The 20,969-nt window shown below is 38.3% G+C and overlaps 1 pseudogene, besides 1 other annotated feature; it reads right to left on the bottom strand.

The window, feature by feature from the left end:
• The window catches only part of LOC107986665 (plasminogen-like protein B), a 124,780-nt pseudogene that overhangs the window by 48,244 nt on the left and 55,567 nt on the right, over positions 1-20,969 (bottom strand).
• Positions 8,139-9,338: an enhancer, noted in NCBI's record as "BRD4-independent group 4 enhancer chr6:161262159-161263358 (GRCh37/hg19 assembly coordinates)". NCBI's record gives its function as "activates an origin of replication core promoter dependent on BRD2, P300/CBP, MED14 and CDK7 cofactors, and independent of BRD4, by STARR-seq in HCT116 cells {active_cell/tissue: HCT116}" and the evidence as "EXISTENCE:reporter gene assay evidence [ECO:0000049][PMID:35650434]".

The following is a 20,969-nucleotide window of genomic DNA, read 5'->3' as shown; positions in this document are numbered from 1 at the left end:
TCTCTGGGTTCACTGTCGTCTTTTCTCTTGGTTCACTATCCTATGTTCTCTGGGTCCACTGTCTTTTTTTCTGGTTTCACCATTGTCTTTTCTCTGGGTGCACCATTGTCTTTTCTCTGGGTAAACTGTCGCCTTTCCTTGGTCTCACTGTTGTATTTTTTCTGGTTGCACTGTCATCTTTTCTACGTTCACTGTCGTCTTTACTCTGGGTTCACTATCATCTTTTCTCTGAGTGCACTGTTGTCTTTTCTCTGGGATCACATTCATATTTTCTCTGGGTTCACTGTTGTCTTTTCTCTGCGTTCACTATCGTCTTTCCTCTGGGTTCACTGTTGTATTTTCTCTGGGTTCACTGTCGTCTTTCCTCTGGGTTCACTGTTGTATTTTCTCTGGGTGCACTGTCGTGTTTTCTCTGGGTGCACGATTGTCTTTTCTCTGTGGTCACTGTCAGCTTTTCTCTGGGTTCACTGTTGTATTTTCTCTGGGTTCACTGTCGTCTTTTCTCTGGGTTCATTGTCGTCATTTCTCTGGGCTATCTGTTCTCTAGGTTCACTGTCATCTTTTCTCTGGGTGCAATGTCGTCTTTTCTCTGGGCGTACCATCATCTTTTCTCTGGGTGTACCATCGTCTGTTCTCTGTGTTCACTGTCATATTTTCTGTGTGTTCACTGTTGTTATTTCTCTGGGTTCACTGTCACATTTTCTCTGGATTCATCGTCGTCTTTTCTCTAGGTTCACCGTCATCTTTTTTCTGGGTGCACCATCGTCTTTTCTCTGGTTTCACTGTCGACTTTTCTCTGGGTTCAATGTTGTATTTTCTCTGGGTTCACTGTCACGTTTTCTCTGGGTTCATTTTCATCTTTCTTCTGGGTTTACCGCTGTCTTTTCTCTGGGTTCACTGTTGTATTTTCTCCAGGTTCACTGTCATCCTTTCTTGGGTTCACTGTCGTCTTTTCTCTGGGAGCAATGTCATCTTTCCTCTGGGTTCACTGTTGTGTTTTTTCTAGGTTCACTGTTTATTTTCTGTGGGTTCACTGTCATTTTCTCTCTGGCTTCATGGTCGTCTTTTTTCTGGGTGCACCATCGTCTTTTATCTGGGTTCACTGTCATCTTCTCTCTGGGCTTACTGCTGTATTTTCTTAGATTCACTGGCATCTTTTCTCTGGGTGCACTGTTTTTGTTTCTCTGGGTTTACTGTTGTCTTTTCTCTGGGTGCACCTTTGTCTTTTCTCTGGGTTCACCGTCATTTTTCTCTGAGTTCACTGCTGTATTTTCTCTTGATGCACGGTCACCTTTCATCTGGGTTTACTGTAGTCTTTTCTCTGTGTTCACTGTCGTATTTTCTCTCAATTCACCATTGTCAATTATCTGGATTCACTGTCTTCTCCTCTGGGTGCACTATTGTCTTTCCTCTGGGTTCTTTATTGTTGAAACTCTGGGTCTGCTGTCGTATTTTCTGGGTGTACCATTCTCTATGCTCTAAGTTCACTGTCATCTTTTCTTTAGGTTCACTGTCAATTTATCTTTGGGTTCACTGTGATCTTTTTTCTGGGTTCACTGTCATCTTTTCGTTGGGTTCACTGTTGCATATTCTTTGTGTACACTTTTGGGTTTTTTCTGGATGCATGGTCATCTTTTCTCTGGGTTCACTGTCATATTTTCTTTGGGGTCACTGTCATCTTTTCTCTGAAGTCACTGTTGCATTTTCTCTGGATTCACTGTCATCTTTTCTCTGGGTTCACTGTCATATTTTCTTTGGGGTCACTGTCATCTTTTCTCTGGGTGCACCTTCATCTTTTCTCTGGGTTCACCATCATCTTGTCTCTGGGCTCACTGTTGTATGTTCTCTGGGTCCACTGTAATTTTTTCTCTGGGTTCACTCTTGTATTTTCTCTGGGTTCACTTTCATCTTTTCTCTGGGTTTACTGTCATCTTTTCTCTGGGTGCACCTTTGTCTTTTCTCTGGGTTCACTGTCATTTTTTTCTTTGGGCTCACTGTTGTATTTTCTCTGCGTTCACTGTTGTATTTTCTCTGTGTTCACTGTTGTATTTTCTCTGGGTTCTCCGTTGTCTTTTCTCTCGGTTCACCATCATCTTTTCTCTGGGTGCACCATCTTTTATCTGGCCGGACCATCATTTTTTCTCTGGGTACACTGTCGTCTTTTTTCTGGGTTCACTGCTGTATTTTCTCTGGGTGTATTGTTGCCTTTCATCTGGGTTTACTGTTATCTTTTCTCTGGGTTCACTGTCGTATTTTCTCTGGATTCACCTTTGTCAATTATCTGGATTCACCGTCTTCTCTTCTCTGGGTGCACTGTCATCTTTCCTCCGGGTTCTCCATTGTCGAAACTCTGGGTTCGCTGTCATATTTTCTGGGTGCACCATCTTTTATTCTCTGAGTTCACTGTCATCTTTAGGCTCACTGTCGATTTATGTTTGCATTTACTGTCGTCTTTTCTCTGGGTGCACTGTTGTCTTTTCAATGGTTCACTGTTGTATTTTCTCTGGGTTCACCTTTGTCTTTTCTTTGAGTTAACCATCCTTTTTTCTCTGGGTTCACTGTCATCTTTTCTCTGGGTTCACCATCATGTTTTTTTCTGGGTTCACTGTCATCTTTTCTCTGGGTGCACTGTCGTTTTTTCATTGGGTTCACTGTTGTATATTCTCTGAGTACACTGTCGTGTTTTTTCTGCGTGCATTGTCATTTTTTTCTCCGAGTTCACTGTCATCTTTTCCTTGGGTCACTGTCATCTTTTTTCTGGTGTCACTGTTGCATTTTCTCTGGATTCACTGTCGTCTTTTCTGTGGGTTCATCATTGTCTTTTCTCTGGGTTCACCATTTTCTTTTCTATGGGTTCACTGTCATCTTTTCTCTGGGTTCACTGTCACCTTTTCTCTGGGTTCACTGTCTTCTTTCTCTGGGTTCATTATCATCTTTTCTCTGGGTGCACTGTCATCTTTTCTCTGGGTTCACTGTCGTATTTTCTTTGGGTTCACTGTTGTATTTTCTTTTGTTCACCATCGTCTTATCTCTGAGCTCACTGTCATCTTTTCTCTGGGTTCACTATCTGTTTGCTTGGTTCATCATCGTCTTTTCTCTGGGTTCACTGTCGCCTTTTCTCTGGGTTCACAGTCATATTTTTTCTGGGTTCACGGTCTTATTTTCTCTGGGATCACGGTCTTATTTTCTCTGGGTGTACTATCATCTGTTTTCTGGGTTCACAGTCTCATTTTCTTTGGGTTCACTGTAGTATTTTCTTTTCTTTTTTTTTAAATTTTATTATTATTATACTTTAAATTTTAGGGTACATGTGCACAATGTGCAGGTTTGTTACATATGTATACATGTGCCATGTTGGTGTGCTGCACCCATTAACTAGTCATTTAGCATTAGGTATATCTCCTAATGCTATCCCTCCCCCCTCCCCCCACCCCACAACAGGCCCCGCTGTGTAATGTTCTCCTTCCTGTGTCCATGTGTTCTCATTGTTCAATTCCCACCTATGAGTGAGAACATGCGGTGTTTGGTTTTTTGTCCTTGTGATAGTTTGCTGAGAATGTTGGTTTCCAGTTTCATCCATGTCCCTACAAAGGACATGAACTCATCATTTTTTATGGCTGCATAGTATTCCATGGTGTATATGTGCCACATTTTCTTAATCCAGTCTATCGTTGTTGGACATTTAGGTTGGTTCCAAGTCTTTGCTATTGTGAATAGTGTTGCAATAAACATACGTGTGCATGTGTCTTTATAGCAGCATGATTTATAATCCTTTGGATATATACCCAGTAATGGGATGGCTGGGTCAAATGGTATTTCTAGTTCTAGATCCCTGAGGAATCACCACACTGACTTCCACAATGGTTGAAGTAGTTTACAGTCCCACCAACAGTGTAAAAGTGTTCCTATTTCTCCACATCCTCTCCAGCACCTGTTGTTTCCTGACTTTTTAATGATCTCTGGGTTCACAATTGTATTTTCTCTGGGTTCACCATTGCCTTTTCTCCGGGTTCACTGTCATTTTTTCTTTGTGTTCCCCCTTGTCTTTTCTTTCGGTGCACCATGGTCTTTTCTCAGGGTGCACTGTCATCTTTTCTCTGAATCCAGAGAAAATGCAACAGTGACCGCAGAGAACATATGACAGTGACTCCAGAGAAAAGATGACAATGCATCCAGAGCAAAGACAACAGTGAGCCCAGAGAAAAGACAATGGCACACCTAGAGAAAAGCAGACAGTGGACCCAGAGAAAAGACAACGATCAATCCAGAGAAAAGATGATACTGCACCCAGAAGAAAGACAATGGTGAACCCAGAGAAAAGATGACACTGAACTTAGAGAAAAGATGGTCAATCCAGAGAAAAGATGATAGTGCACCCAGAAAAAGACGATGGTGAACCCAGAGAAAAGATGACATTGAACCCAGAAAAAAGATGACAGTGAATCCAGGGAAAATGCAACAGTGACCCCAGAGAAAATATGACAGTGACCCCAGAAAAAAGATGACAGTGAACCAAGAGAAAAGATGACGATGCACCCAGAAAAAACACTACAGTGTACCAAGAGATTATACAACAGTGAACCCAATGAAAAGATGATGGTGCACCTAGAGAAAAGACGACAGTGAACCCAGAGAAAAGATGTCAGTGAACCCTGAGAAAAGATGACAGTGACCCCAGAGAAAAGAAAATGATTAACCCAGAGAAAAGATGAAGGTGAACCCAGAGAAAATAAAACAGTGAATCCATACAAATGATGACAGTTCACCCAGAGAAAAGGCGACAGTGAACACAGAGATAAATTGACAGTGAACCTAAAGAAAAGATGACAGTGAACTCACAGTTTAAAGGATGGTGCACCCAGAATATATGACAGCGAACCCAAAGTTTCAACAATGGAGAACCCAGAGGAAAGACAACGGTGCACCCAGAGAAGAGAAGATGGTGATCCCAGATAATTGACAATGGTGAATCCAGAGAAAATATGACAGTGAACACCGAGAAAAGATAACAGTAAACCCAGATGAAAGGGGACGATGCACCCCAAGAAAATACAGCAGTAAACCCACATAAAAGGTGACGGAGAGCCCAGAGAAAAGGACAGTGAACCCAGAGAAAAGACAAAGGTGCACCTAGAGAAAAGATGACTGTGAACCCAGAGAAAAGATGACAGTGAACACAGACAGAAAAAGACAGTGAACACAGACAGAAAGACAGTGAACCTGGAGAAAATACAACAGTGAACCCAGAGAAAAGACAACAGTGAAACCAGAAAAAAGACGACAGTGAACCCAGAAAAAATACAACAGTGAACCCAGAGAAAAGAAGAATGTGAACCTAAGGAAAACATGACAGTGAACCCAGAGATAATACAACAGTGAACCCAGAGAAAAGTCAACATTGAAACCAGAGAAATGAAGATGGTGAACCCAGAGAAAAGACGATGGTGCACCCGAGAAAAGATGATGCTGCACCCAGAAAAAAGACGACAGCGAACCTAGAGAAAAGACAATGATGAACCCAGAGAAAAGATGACAGTTAGCCCAGAGAAAAGATGGCAGTGAACACAAAGAAAAGGCGATGATGCACCCAGACAAAACATGACAGTGTACCCAGATAATATACGATAGTGAACACAGAGAAAAAACATCAGTGAACCCAGAGAAAAGACGATGCTGCACCCAGAGAAAACACAACAGTGAACCCAGAGAAAAGATGAAGGTGCACCCAGATGAAAGATAACAGTGAACCCAGAGAAAAGATGACAGTGAACCCAGAGAAAAGATGACAGTGAACCCAGAGAAAAGATAACAGTGAACCCAGAGAAAATACAACAATGAACCCAGAGAAAATACAACAGTGAACCCAGAGGAAAAACGACAGTAAACCCAGAGAATGTATGACAGTGAACCCAGAGAAAAGATAACAGTGAACCCAGAGAAAATACAACAATGAATCCAAAGAAAATACAACAGTGAACCCAGAGGAAAAACGACAGTAAACCCAGAGGAAAAACGACAGTAAACCCAGAGAATCTATGACAGTGAACCCAGAGAAAAGATGATGGTGAACCCAGAGAAAAGACGAAAGGGCACCCTGACCGTGAACCCAAGAAAATACGACAGTGAAGCCAGAGAAAAGACGATGGCAAACCCAGAGAAAATATGACAGTGAACCCAGAGAAAAAACATCAGTGTACCCAGAGAATAGATGACAGTGCACCCAGAAAAAATACAACAGTAAACCCAGAGGAAAGATGACAGTGCATCCAGAGAAAAGACGATGGTGCGCCCAGAATAAAGACGACAGTGAATCCAGAGAAAAGATGACGGTGAACACATACAAAATACAACAGTGATTCCAGAGAAAAGACAAGAGTGAACCCAGAGAAAAGACAACAGTGAACCCAGAGAAAAGACAACGGTTCACCCAGAGAAAAGACAACGGTTCACCCAGAGAAAAGACGATGGTGAACCCAGAAAAAAGATGATGGTGAACCCAGAGAAAGGAAGACAGTGCACCCAGAGTAAAGTTGATGGTAAACCCAGAAAAAAAGACGATGGTGAAATCAGAGAAAACACAACAGTGCACCCACAGAGAATATGACAGTGAACCTAGAGAAAATACGACAGCGAACCCAAAGGCAATAAGACAATGAACCCACCCAGAGGGATGATGACAGTGTACCCAGAGAATAGATGGTGGTGCACCCAGAGAAAAGACCATGGTGAACCCAGAGCAAAGACGACAGTGAACCCAGAGAAAAGATGACAGTGAACCCAGAGAAAAGACGACAGTGAACCTAATGAAAAGACGACTGTGAACCCAGAGCAAACACAACAGTGAACCCAGAGAAAAGGCGACAGTGAACACAGGGAAAAGTTGACAGTGAACACAGAGAAAATACAACAGAAAAACGCAGAGAAAGATGATGGTGCACCCTGAGAGAAGATGACAGTACACCCAGAGAAAAGACGATGATGCACATAGAGAAAAGAAGACAGTGCACCCAGAGAACATACAACAGTAAACCCAGAAAAAAGACCACAGTGAACCCAGAGAATATTCAACAGTGAACCCAGAGAAAAGACGACAGTGCAGCCAATAAAAAGATATCAGTGCACCCAGAGAAAAGACAATGGTGAACCCAGACAAAAGGTGAAACCAGAAAAAAGATGACAGTAAACCCAGAGAAAAGATGACAGTGAACCCAGAGAAAAGATGACAGTACACTCAGACTGAAGATGATGGTAAACCCAGAAAAAAGATGACAGTGAAGTCAGAGAAAATACAACAGTGCACCCACAGAGAATATGACAGTGAACTGAAAGAAAATACGACAGTGAACCCACCCAGAGAGAAAATGATGGTGCATCCAGAGAAATGATGGTGCACCCAGAGAAAAGATGACGATGAACCCAGAGCAAAGACGACCGTGAACCCAGAGAAAAGATGACAGTGAACCTAAAGAAAAGACAACTGTGAACCCAGAGCAAAGACAACGGTGAACCCAGAGAAAAGATGACAGTGAACCCAGGGAAAAGACAATGGTGACCCAGAGAATATACAACTGTGGGGCCAGAGAAAATATGACAGTGAACCCAGAGGAAAAATGACAGTACACCCAGAGAATATACGATAGTGAACACAGAGAATTGACAATGGTGAACCCAGAAAAAAGACGAGGGTGCACACAGAGAATTGACAACGGTGAACCCATAGAACATACAAAGTGAACCCAGAGAAAAGATGATAGTGAACCCAGAGAAAAGACGACAGTGAAAACAGAGAAAAGTTGATGGTGAACCCAGAGAAAAGACAATGCTGAACCAAGAGAAAATACAACAGTGAACCCATAGAAAAGACGACAATGTACCCAGAGAAAAAGACAATGGTGAATGTAGAGAAAATTCGACAGGAACCCAGAGAAAGGATGACAGTGAACCCAGAGAAATGATGATGGCACACCCAAGAAAATATGACAGTGAACCCAGAAAAAAAACCAAAGATGAACCCAGAGAAAAGATGACGGTGCACCCAGAGAATAGACAACAGTGAACTCGGAGAAATTATGACAGTGAACCCAAAGAAAAGACTACAGTGAACCCAGAGAAAAGACGACCTTGCACCCTGAGAAAATACAACAGTGAACCCAGAGAAAAGACGATGGTGAACCCAGAGAAAAGATGACAGTGAACCCAGAGAAAATACAACAGTGAACTCAGAGAACAGTGAACCCAGAGAAAAGACGACGGTGAATCCAGAGAAAAGACAACAGTGAACCCAGAGGAAAGACGACAGTGAATCCAGAGAAAAGATGATGGTGAAACCACAGAAAAGACGACAGTAAACCCAGAGGAAAGATGACAGTGAATCCAGAGGAAAGACGATGGTGAACCCAGAGAAAAGACAACAGTGAACCCAGAGAAAAGACAACAGTGAACCCAGAGAAAAGACAAAAGTGAATCCAGAGAAAAGACGACGGTGAACCCAGAGAAAAGACGATGGTGAACCCAAAGAAGAGATGACAGTGAACCCAAAGAAAAGATGACAGTGAACCCAGATAAAAGACGATGGTCAATGTAGAGAAAATTTGACAGTTAACCCAGAAAAAATATGACCGGAAACCCATAAAAACAACGATGGTGAACTCAGAGAAAAGATGATCATGCACCCAGAGAAAAGATGACAGTGAACTCAGAGGAAAGACAATTTTGCACCCAGAGAAAATACAACAGTGAACCCAGAGTAAAGACAACAGTGAACCCATAGAAAAGACAACAGTGAACCCAGAGAAAAGATGACGATGAACCCCCTAGAAAAGACGATGGTGAACGTAGAGAAAATTTGACAGTGAACCCCGAGAAAAGATTACAGTGAACCCAGAGAAAGGACGATGATGCACCCAGAGAATTTGACAGTGAACCCAGAAAAACGACGGTGAACCCAGAGAAAAGATGACAGTGAACCCAGATTAATGAAGACAGTGCACCCAGAGAAAAGATGACAGTGAACTAGATAACAGACCGTGAACCAAGAGAAAAGATGACAGTGAACCCAGAGAAAAAAATGATGGCACCAAGAGAAAAGATGACGGTGAACCCAGAGAAAAGATGACAGTGAACCCAGAGAAAAGACGATGGCGAACCCAGAGAACAGACATTGAACCCATGGAAAAGACAATGGTGAACCCAGAGAAAATATGACAGTGAACCCATGGAAAAGACAACGGTGAACGTAGAGAAAATTTGACAATAAACTCAGAGACAAGATGACAGTGAACCCAGAGAAATGATGATGGTGCACCCAGAGAATATGACAGTGAACCCAGAAAAACAACGACGGCGAACCCAGAGAAAAGACGACGGTGAACCCAGAGAAAATATGACATTGAGCCTAGAAAAATGATGACAGTTAACCCAGAGAAAAGATGACCTTGCACCCAGAGAAAATACAATAGTGAACCCTGAGAAAAGATGACAGTGAACCAAGAGAAAATACGACAGTGAACCGAAAGAAAAGATGACAGTGAACCCAGAGAAAATACAACAGTGAACCCTGAGAAAAGACGACAATGAACCCAGAGAAAATACGACAGTGAACCCAGAGAAAAGACAACAGTGAACCCAGAGAAAAGATGACGGTGAACCCAGGTAAAAAACGACGGTGAACCCAGAGAAAAGACGACAGTGAACCCTGAGATAAGACGACTGTGAACTCAGAGAAAAGACAACAGTGAACCCACGGAAAAGACAACAGTGAATCCAAAGAAAATGTAACAGTGAACCCAGAGAAAAGACAAAGGTGAACCCAGAGAAAAGATGATGGTTCACCCAGAGGAAAGACGACAGTTAACCCACAGAAAATGCAACAGTGAACCCAGAGAAAAGATGACAGTGAACTTAGAGAAATGTTAATGGTGAACTCTGAGAAAAGACGATGTGGAACCCACAGAAAAGATGATGGTTCACTCAGAGAAAAGGCAACAGTGAACCCAGAGAAAAGACAGTGCACCCTGAGAAAAGACGACAGTGGACCCTGAGAAAAGCCTCAGAAAGCTATCCAGGACAAAATCCATCCTGCAATCAGATGCCCCACAGTTAGTGACATTTCTGACACTGGTGGAAGTTTCTTGTTCATTTGATCTTTGATTTATGCAAAGATCTGGTTGTACCTGGAAGACGGGAAGAGTGGGGACCACAGTTCATAACCATTCTGAGGAAGTTTGCCTTTATTCATTTACTGCTACATCCACACAGCTCACAGCATGACAAAATCTTGTCAATGACCAAGGATGACACTAGGAAGATAATGTAATTTTCAAATGTGGTTTTCCTGAAACCAAGTCAACTATAGCTGATATGTTTCATTTCATTGATTAATGTTTACATGGGAAAAACCAATATTATACTTTACTGAACTTTGTGTAATTGTTCCGATTTTTTGATATCTGTTTGACTTACCATGGGGTTGACATAATGAATTTATTGCACATTGTTCAAAAGGAACCAGGAGGTTTTTGTCAGCACTGTAATGTAAATTCCTTTGCAGATGGTAACTGTAGATGGAAAAACTTTTGCTATAAAATGAAATGCTTCCTTAAATCAGACATTTTGGTCAAGTAGCTTGACTCAGTACAGGTAGGGAGATATTTAAATATAAAATACAATGAAAGAAGCCTAAATATTTAGAATCTTTGTTTAGATCCTGTAAGTAACTAATAATCCATAAGCAATGCAATATTGCTCTATTGGGTCCTTTTGACATTTATTTCATCATATAGCTTTCCATATTGAATAAATTTACAGATTTAATTTATATAACTTGAACCTATGAAGCAATGGATATTTCTGCGGTTTAATGTCTTGTGATACAGAACTCTTGAAAAAATTTATGTTTTATAAAATCAAGCTTTAAGTGAAAAATGAAGAAATAAAGTTAAATGTGTTACTTTTTTAAAAGAAGTTCTAGTGATCTACTGCAGAGCATGCTGACGACAGTCAATAATAATGTATATTTCAAAATTGCTAAAATAACATATTTTCAATGTTTTCTTCACAAAAAAAGATGTCTGTGCAGTAATAAGTTATTTAGCTTGATTCTATCATTCCACAATGAAAACATATATCAAAACTTCACATTGTACCTAATAAATATATACAATTATTGTTGGTTAAAATTTTTTTGAAAGAGGCAAGACTAAGCTGCTGCGAATAGGGATGCAGAGTGAGCGGCACAACGGCAAAGAGCAAGGGTCAGTGTCAGCGTCAAGACAGCGCCCTCTAACCGTGGCTGGGTGCACAGGGAGGCTGCGGGTACAGCTGACAAAGCCTATGATTTTAGCTGGGTGTGGGGGCGTGCCCGTAATCCCAGCTACTGGGGAGGCTAAGGCAGGAGCATCATTTGAACCTGGGAGGTGGAGGTTGCAGTGAGCCGAGATTGCGCCACTGCACTCCAGCCTGGGTGACACAGTGAGAATCTGACCAAAAAAAAAAAAAAAGAAGAAAAAGAAAAAGGCCTATGACTTGACCTGCATGGAGTGAGGAAAAAAAGACAAGAGAGAAAACATGTTCCAGGGGTTTCGACATGAGGCTGGAATGAACACTGTTCATTGCCTGTTTGCATGCATTTATACATTTATACGGTCTCAACCCTGTTCCAGGAAAGATTTAAAGGACACAAGTAAGACTGCAAGCACCAGAAGGATGTTCCAACTTTTCTTTTTTTTTGAGACGCAGTCTCGGTCTGTCACCCAGGCTGGAGTGCACTGGTTCGATCTCAGCTCACTGCAAGCTCCGCCTCCCGGGTTCACGTCATTCTCCTGCCTCAGCCTCCCGAGTAGCTGGGACTACAGGCGCCCGCCACTGCGCCCGGCTACTTTTTTGTATTTTTAGTAGAGACGGGGTTTCACCGTGGTCTCAATCTCCTGACCTGGTGATCCGCCCGCCTCGGCCTCCCAAAATGAAGGCTGTTCCAATTTTAAATGTCAGTTCAGCTCCTACTTTATGGGGTTTGGCAAATCGAGTTAAGGGCTTTTTCCACAAATGCTCAGACATTCCAGCGAGACTGAATCAAGCAACTGGAATCACCTGAAAACGAGAGACCAGATTCTATCCTCCCTCCATTTTTTGAAATATTCACTTCTTTATCACCAGCTGGGCTTCAATGACTCTTCAGGTGTAAAGGTCAACCTCGTAGAAATGGGAAAGCCTGTGTTGTTAGGAAGGATGGTTTTATGTGAGCATCTGAAGTTTTAGGGCAAGAATAGCCTCGGACCATCTGTAAGAAAAAGCTGCCACATCTGGGCAGTACTCTCCTAGGGTGAAACGTGCGCAGATTAAACTGAAGCAATAATGAGCTCAAGTAGAGTCTCAAACGAGACAGGAAGCTTATATGCACGGCATGTGCCTTCGGTGCCCGGGCTATGGAGGAAAGAACACAGACAGTCTTCCTGAGGTGGGGCAGACAAAACTGCTGAAAGTGAAGGAGAATTAAGGCGCTACACGGTGGTCATTCAAAAAGCCTCAGACTTCCCCTCCTAAGAAGATGGAACAGGTGTGCAGTTTCCTCCTTCCCGCAGGTGCAACTGGAAACCTCGGGCAGTGCCCATCAAACAAACTCAGGAAGACGAGAGGCGGAGAGAGGAAGCCCGGGGGAGCCGGGCGACCCTGGGGACCCTGAGAACGATAGGGTGGGGCGTTCCTGGGTTTTCTTTTTGCCTCTTCCACCCCAAACTGGGTGCTTACGAGGACGCAGAGGAAGACAGCCCCTGCTACTGTCTCCAGCCAGAGCACTGGGAGAGGCGCGGCTCCAGGAAACATTTCAAGGACTCTGGGAAAATGGGTGGAGATCTCTGAATCTGAAAAATCTTCAGGAGACTGGAAGTGTTTTGAAGTTGAAGGTTATGATTCTTTCTCATTTTGTTTCAAAACAGAACCCCCATTTCCCTTAATGTAGGATTCAAGGGCACAAGCGGAGGAGCAAAGGGATGTCACGGTCAGAACCGCCTAGAAGGCAACGGGAAGCAGAAGCGCAGGCCAGCGAGATGCTCTTCAGAGTGACTTAGCTGTGGGCTGCGGAAGGCAACAGAAGGAACTCAGCATCCACTGGCCACATTCTCCTCCCCGGAGCGGAGGACAGAGCCGAGTTTCTTCAGGCAGTGGCTCTAGCCAGCTCTGCCACAGGGAAGGGGCGTGCAGCTGCCACACACCGCAGGTAGCGCTGACACAGACAAGGCCTGTGAACAACACTGTGAATCATCTAGAAATAGCAGATAGCTATAAAACACATTACCCAACAACATGGCACATTTTCCAGGATAGACCGTATGCTACGCTGTGCTACAAAAGAAACTGTAATGTATTTCAAAAAATTGAAATAATGAAAAGGACATCTAACCAAAACTGAATGAGATTAAACATCAAAAACAAGTAACTTGGTAAATTTACAATTATATGGAAGTTAAATAACAGAATCTATATTAAACAATGGATCAAAATGAAATTACAAGAGAAATTGGAAAAGAGTTTGAGATTACCGAAAACGGATACCAAAACTAATGGGATGTGGGTGATGCAGTGCTTGGAAAAAAAATTACAGCTGTAAATACCTCAATAGCCTAAACTTCCACCTCAACACAATGGACAAGAGAGGAAACTAAACCTAAATAAAATAAGTAGAAAGAAGGAAATCATAAAATGAAGAGTAAAATTAATAATACAAAATACAGATAAACAATAAAGACTATCAAAAAAACCAAAACTTCATTTGTTTTAAACGTAACAAAATAAATTTCTGGGAATTTATAAAATGTGTAATGATCCAAAAAAAAAAAAATCACACCAGCCATATTGTTACTTAAGACCGGAAAGATTTGCTAAGTATGGGATGATAATTTCTTAATACCAGGCCCAGACTGTGAAGTGTTCATGAATCCCACCTCTTTTTGAAGCCTCAAATTTATGTCTAAGTCACCAATCCCTACTTGCTACCAGAAATATTATAACAGAATAAAATATATTCATTTGTACATTTATTATTTTGAATATCCTCTAATTGGAAGATATTGTTCAAAACGTTATGACGATGTGACATGATACCTGTCCCCAGGTAGTGTACTATACATAGGTAACATTATATACTCTTCAGAACACATTCCATGGTTGTTCTATTTCATTTAGAAGGTGAACACATTTTTAAAGTACTAAAGTAATTATTTTTTCACTTTCTGAACATACAAGTTGCTTGATTATAGCAATGTGTCTTCTGGCTTTCTTTCTGGAAGTTTTAAATTAAACCTGTTTCCTTTACAGGCTATTTTAGGAAATTCACATTTTCTGTGTAATGTTAAATTTAACCAAAACATAATTTGCAGTTAGAAGCAAAAGTTCTATTTCAAAGTGTAAAATCTAAAAGTCCATAAGAAAATCAGGTATAGTTTCGGAAACTATTTCTATAGAGTCAGGAGGATTGTATAAATAGAGCTTTATGTGAATTTGCCACAAAAATATAGTATAATTTGACCAGGATTTTCTTAAATTATTTCTTATCCAAGAAGTCTAGTAATTATTTATTCTAAGACTATTGTAATTTCTGCCATGATGTCAGTGATTTTATTAACAAGTTGAATAGTTTAGGTTTATTTATTTATTTTTGCTATACTATGCAAACTTTTCTGCCTTCAAGTAAAAGTTTTATGTGCTTACATTTTAACTTCAAAACAAAAAGGATATAGAACTACATATGAAAACACCATATTGAATATATTTTTGGGTTTGGGCCAGTCTTGATACCACTAGATCAAGTGTTTAAATCTTTTTGTCCAAGGCACTTACATGCACTGATATATTTTCACCCTTTATTATGCCTTGGAAAACCAAATAATCTTGCTTCTTAAATCCTGACAGTAAAATGATATAGAAATTGTTCATTTAAGCAATTCTAGAGTACATATCATTGTATTACCCATACGCATACCAAAATTTTTATGATAAACTTCATTAAATGAAGCGATTTTGGATAATAAAGTTTCAACTCTTGTATGGGTTGAAACTTCACTCATCTATACACAATTATCTTTCATATATTTTCCCCAAATAAGTATATTATATATTTAAAATAAAAGTTTGACTATATTATAGCTTCAGGTTTTATGACTTTTCATACTTTAATTTCATATCTCAAACAATAAAATGTTTTTATGCATGTTATGTAATTTTGTACTACCTGAACCAGATTTTTATTTTCATTTATAATTAAATAGTTTTTATAGGTATAATCTTTTTGTATTGCTGTTCAAATTATCTTCCAAGACGTGGAATTTCTTGCAGGCTTTTGTGCAGAATATTTAAAAAGATGACCTTTGTCTTGAGCATAGCTTGTTCAAGTTTAAAATGCATTTGTTGGCAATATTAAAGCAACATTAGTGGAGCATCCACAGTTTATAAGGCATTTGGGTCATAACTTTAGGACTCAGGATAATAAGTAAAGTAATACATTTCATTTTTTCTATTCCTAGAAAATTTTTTCATTAAAAATATAAGTAATAAAAAACTAATAATTATAATATTTTCACATAAGATCATATTTTCAACTTATAGATTTTTACCCAGTAGGCTTCTGCTTTTTACTTTTTATCATATTATTCACTTGTTTCAAATTTAACTATATTTTAAAATTTATATATTTAATAATGCAGTTAGCAATACATTCATAAAGTATTTTAGTCCAATTTAATTTCTCAAAGAAAATTTCTTTACAGAATACTTTCAAATTTTTAATAAAATGTGTAGGCCACTATAATTTTCATCAAAACTGATATTTTATCAACATTGATGTACTTCTCACTGAAAAGCTTTCAATGTGATAGCCATTTATCTTAGTACTGAGTACCAATGTACACATATATATTACCATTTATTTGAATTTATTAATTATGATGACAAAATGCTTGACGTACTAGTACATGGTTAGGTGAAAGGTGATGAGTGCTTTTGTAAATTGGAGAAATTTATTTTAGCTCAGTGCTTTCAGGAGGACTGTTTTGTCTTCTGGGGGCACCTTGGCAATTTCTAGAGTCATTGTCAATATTCAGAATAATTGGCTGGAACAGTTGACATTTAGCATGTGGGTAGTGAATGATGAAAGTTATAAATCTTTCAATGCACAGAATAGTTCAGGCAAAGAAAACGTTTTTCATGGATTGCACAATTTCTAAAAGTTGCAGCATATGTTAATGTGTATATAAAACCTACATATAAATATCTAAGCCTAGATATGAATTTCACATCACATATTGGCATGAAATATTTTTACACAATTTTAATAATCATTGACTATATCAGGAATGAATCTTTTATGTTAAAGAAATAAATATTATTGTTCATTCAGAAATTTCTTAGAATTTCTTAACCATATTGAAAAAAATACATCATCCTACTTCAGTGTCTATTAGGAAACGACTATTATCAGTCCTTATTTATGGCTGCCAAACCACGGTAATTCTGTGTATGGGTGCAAACAGCTAACCACTGCAATGTATCTTCTAGTTCAGTTATTCTTTAATATTTTTGCATAGAAATAGTGCTCTTATAAATTAGTGGCCTTTTATGTTGTTTATATTAGAGTTAGGGAATTATCTTGGTTAATTTTTAATATTAGGTGTGTAGGTAGGATACATTATGAATTCCATTGTATGAAGTAAAGAGTGTGCTACAAAAACCGGAAATGTATTATTAACAGAAAATATTGGTCTGATTGATTTTAGTGTATCTGTTTCAAGAAGCACAAAACTAAGTAGATTATGCACCTTTAAAAGTATAACTTATAGAGGATCAAAACCAAATATTTCAAAATTATAAGAAATAAATCACATCACCAATTCACAAAATAAAGAAATAAAACACAATTCACATTTCAAAACAGAAAACAAAAATATTATAAACACATAAAAGATATATTGGTTACTAACATCTATGAAATTACCTTAAAAATCAAACTAAAACAGACCAATTCTCGGTTGTTTAAGAGGTTCATTATAACAATCTGACTTAGAAGAATTAGAAAATATATAATAGAAAAACTTACTGGAGAGATCACGATGAGAACAAGGCTGGAACTACAGACTTGATGTATCAAGGTGGAATTTAAGACAGCAAGTGATAAACCAGATAAAAAGTAGTTTTTATTTAGCTTTATGTTGATGTACTAAAAGCATTTTGCATTACAATCAATAATGCCTGCTATTAATGTAGGCTCCTGAAAGTAGGTAAGTATATGAACAAGTCAAAAAATGAAGTATAAATTGGATAGGAAGAAACACAATTATTGTGGTTTATAGATGATATGATTATAAATATAGTAAAATTAAAAAATTGATTTAAAAACCTGTTAGAAATAAAATAATTTTATATTGTGGTCTACTGAAAAATTAACATGAGAAATGTATAGATTTCCAATAAGAAATAAATGTCACTTAGAAAATAAAATGAAATAAAATATCTTATTTATAATAGTAACCCAAAAGATAAAATACCTAGGAATAAACTGTTATAAATGCATAACAAAAGAAAATCTCAAAATTATAATAAAGGATTTAAGAAAGATATTAAATGCTTTCAATTGCTTTGCATGTTCTTGGGTAGAAAGTCTCAATGTTTTAAACTCTAAATTCAGACATAAATTCTATATGGTCTCATATAAAACAAAAATAAAACTTGTTTTACTATGTATATATAGAGGATAAAAGTTGAAAGAAAGAAAAAACTATACGAGTTTGAGAAAATACATTAAAACAAGGTATTAAAATATGTTCTGGGGTGTTAAATCAACACCTACTGAGGGAGACTATGACTCACATACATGAGTCATACGCATATGTATACCTTATATATAAATATATGTACTTATCTATATGAATTTATTTTAATATAAATAGCATTTCTAATCAATGGTGGAAAAGAAATTACACCAATTAAAAATTTATCAGACTACTGATTTATGAAATAAAACTATCACTTTCTAGAAGAGAATGAGAGTGAGTATTTGTACATCTTAAAATGGGGAGGCTTTTCTAAATATGACAGAAGATTGAGAAGCAGTTACAGGAAAAACAGATAAGGTGTCATATTAAAATGTAAAATTTATAAAGGCATACATTCCAAAGACATTCAAGCATCTAGAAAAATTATTTACAGTACATTAGACAAAATGGTATCATTTTAATTTAAAGATAAATTTATAGGTACTCCTGTTAAATATGGCCAATGTAGTACATGGTTTTCTATTTTTTCTAAAACCTATTAAAATTACGATCAAAGGGAACAAAGAGCATGGGAGAGGAAACAGTAGAATAAATAAGTAGATTACTCAACAGATTAGAACCATCAAACTAAGTGGGTAGCAGAGAGAAAGCCACTAAACTAGCTGAACACTCAAAAGACAGGCATTGTACTCATCAGTCATTCCTAAGGGTGGGACCATGGCGAGACTGAAAATCAAAGAACTGGTTGAAAGCTTTATGAGCAAACAGTTAAACTCCTGAATTCTCTCTTTTATCCTGTGTGAACAGCCCATTGCATTCTTGAGCAGTACACAGAGCCCAGGGATGTGGTGCAATACTATAGAGGAGAAATTAAGTAAAAGGCTACTCACAAAACAAAGCTAACAAGGTCTTTTTCCCTATTCTGCTCTAAAAATGTGGGTGACCAGGCCACTTCCACTGACTGTCACTGACTGACTGGCTCTAGGAAAAAGAATACAGACTCCAAGAGAGAGAGTTCTTAAACAAATCAGCCAGGTCTCTGCTTGATCACAGTGCAATAAAGTTAGTAGCTGGAAAGCCACTCACAATGAATACATGGAATTTCAAACCACAGTTTTTGGTTTTTTATTTTTCAATATAAGTGGAGAGTGAAGCATAACAATATATGTTAAGAAATTCTCTAACTTCACAGCGACAGACCAAAGTCAGTTGGGGGTTGGAAGGTGGGGAGAGAATTCAGAGGAAATACAAAGATGAGGAGCATGTTAAACTTTTGAAAAAAACTCCAAAACTTAAGATTACTGCCCTCAAGGTAATAAGAGAAAGGTAGAAAAAAAATGGTTTTCAGATCTACAATGTGTGCATATTTTTAGTTCTCAAGAGGTCCAACCTAAAAATAATACACTTCACTTAAAATAGGAAGTCAAGTAAGGAAAAAGATGAGGAATTTAGGAAACTGAGGATCCAAACCAGAAAATAGGAGGTAAACCTTCCCAGGATGAAGGTGAAGAGTCACCCCGGAAGACACTGCAGTGAGACTGCGGATCTAGGATCTACCCCTTCAGAAGAGGCACTTCTAAGGACAAAAAGACTGAGGCTGAGAGAATATCCAGTGTATTTTGCATATTGAGGTATATGGGGAAGTAATTATGACTGGGTACTTAGAATAAGTAAACAAAACTAAAGTGATTAATAACTGCCAGAAAAACAAAAATGTTCTGTAAAAGTAAATGCATACTACCTCTTTCAGCTATAAATGATATCACTAAAGTCATAATTATATAAAATGAATATTAATTTATCACAAAATTAACCTAATTTTATATTGGGAGAATGAAATAAGGGCTTGGTGTGTGTATCTGTGTGTGTGTGTGTGTTTATGTGTGTGTATGTGTGTGTCTGTTTTGGGGTAAAGAGGAGAGTAAGAAATTTAAATACTTCTCTTCCATAGGATAAAGTCAATGAATAATGTCTAAATGTGTTTTTTTAATTAAGTAATAAATGTAAAGTATTTTATTTGGAAATATTGAGATAAACAAAAACACAGAAATAGTTAAACATCTTAAAGTAGTTACATATAGGTGGCATGATAAGTTAGAAATGGAAAGGCACTATAATATTTTACTTTCTGAAGACACTATATTCTATAAGAAATATTTGTATTTATTGTAGGAATATTTACATAGTATTTGATGAAAATATAAATTAAAAATAAACCAGAAAATTAAAACATGGAAATAAATTTAAAACCAAAATGCTTGGCATTTCAGAAATTTTGGACTACTTCCAATGCATCAGAAGCAAGACTTTCCTAAGAACATCCCAATGAGCTTCCAACCAATGGCCATTAGAAAGCAACAGATTGCCGAGTTGGTGTTTGTGGGGGTCAGGGGAGAGAGGCAGGAGGCTGAAGTGTGTGGTGCAAAGGAGAAGGAAGTGTTGATATCTTATTTTCTTTTGTGCTAATTATAAAATTAGTGTGAAAAATATAAATTATTTATTACAGAAAAATTAACAAAAGCAGGTTGTTATTAGGAAACATAATACTTATTATTGGAACGTAATAGAAAATTGGTATGGCCCACTTCTCCAGGTGGGGTTAAACACTATTTTGTTTCTTTCACTTTTCAAATTAAACCCAACACAATCTTCACAAGCCCATATTATCAGCAAGGCCTATATTTTCTATAGTGTCTTTTTCTTTCCACTGAAATATAAAAAATCCTCTGGGTTTCCTCACTTCAAAATGTTCAGTCCTACCTCTAACTCTTCACACAGTGAGAAGTAAAGGAACTGATCTGTCTAAACTTTCCCAGGGATGCAGAGTTAATCCCGCTAAAAGCAGAATATTCTGGGGGCAGTTTAAATCAGGTGCCCCTCTTTCTCTCCACCACTCTTTTCTTCCTCTATCCGGTTCCTTCTATTAGTTGTATCTCCCTTCATGTGGAATTCCCCCCATCTGATTTCTCTCTTTCAATCTGGTTTCTCTGCCCATCATATGACCCTCCTCCTTCCCTTTCTCCCTCTCCATTTGATTTTTCCTTGCTCTCTCTTTTGCCCCCTCCATTTGATTTCTCTCCCTCCATCTCCAAACTCATGTGCTTTCTGAAGGCATTTGTTAACATTTTAAGAACAATGTTACCACGTCTTTTATATCAAGTATAATCACCTATTTTTCTGGAAATGTCAGCCTTACAATCAAATTTCCAG

This window comes from Homo sapiens, chromosome 6 (genome assembly GCF_000001405.40).
Source record: "Homo sapiens chromosome 6, GRCh38.p14 Primary Assembly".
Taxonomy (NCBI): Eukaryota; Metazoa; Chordata; class Mammalia; order Primates; family Hominidae; genus Homo; species Homo sapiens.
This window is presented reverse-complemented; position numbering and strand designations above follow the sequence as displayed.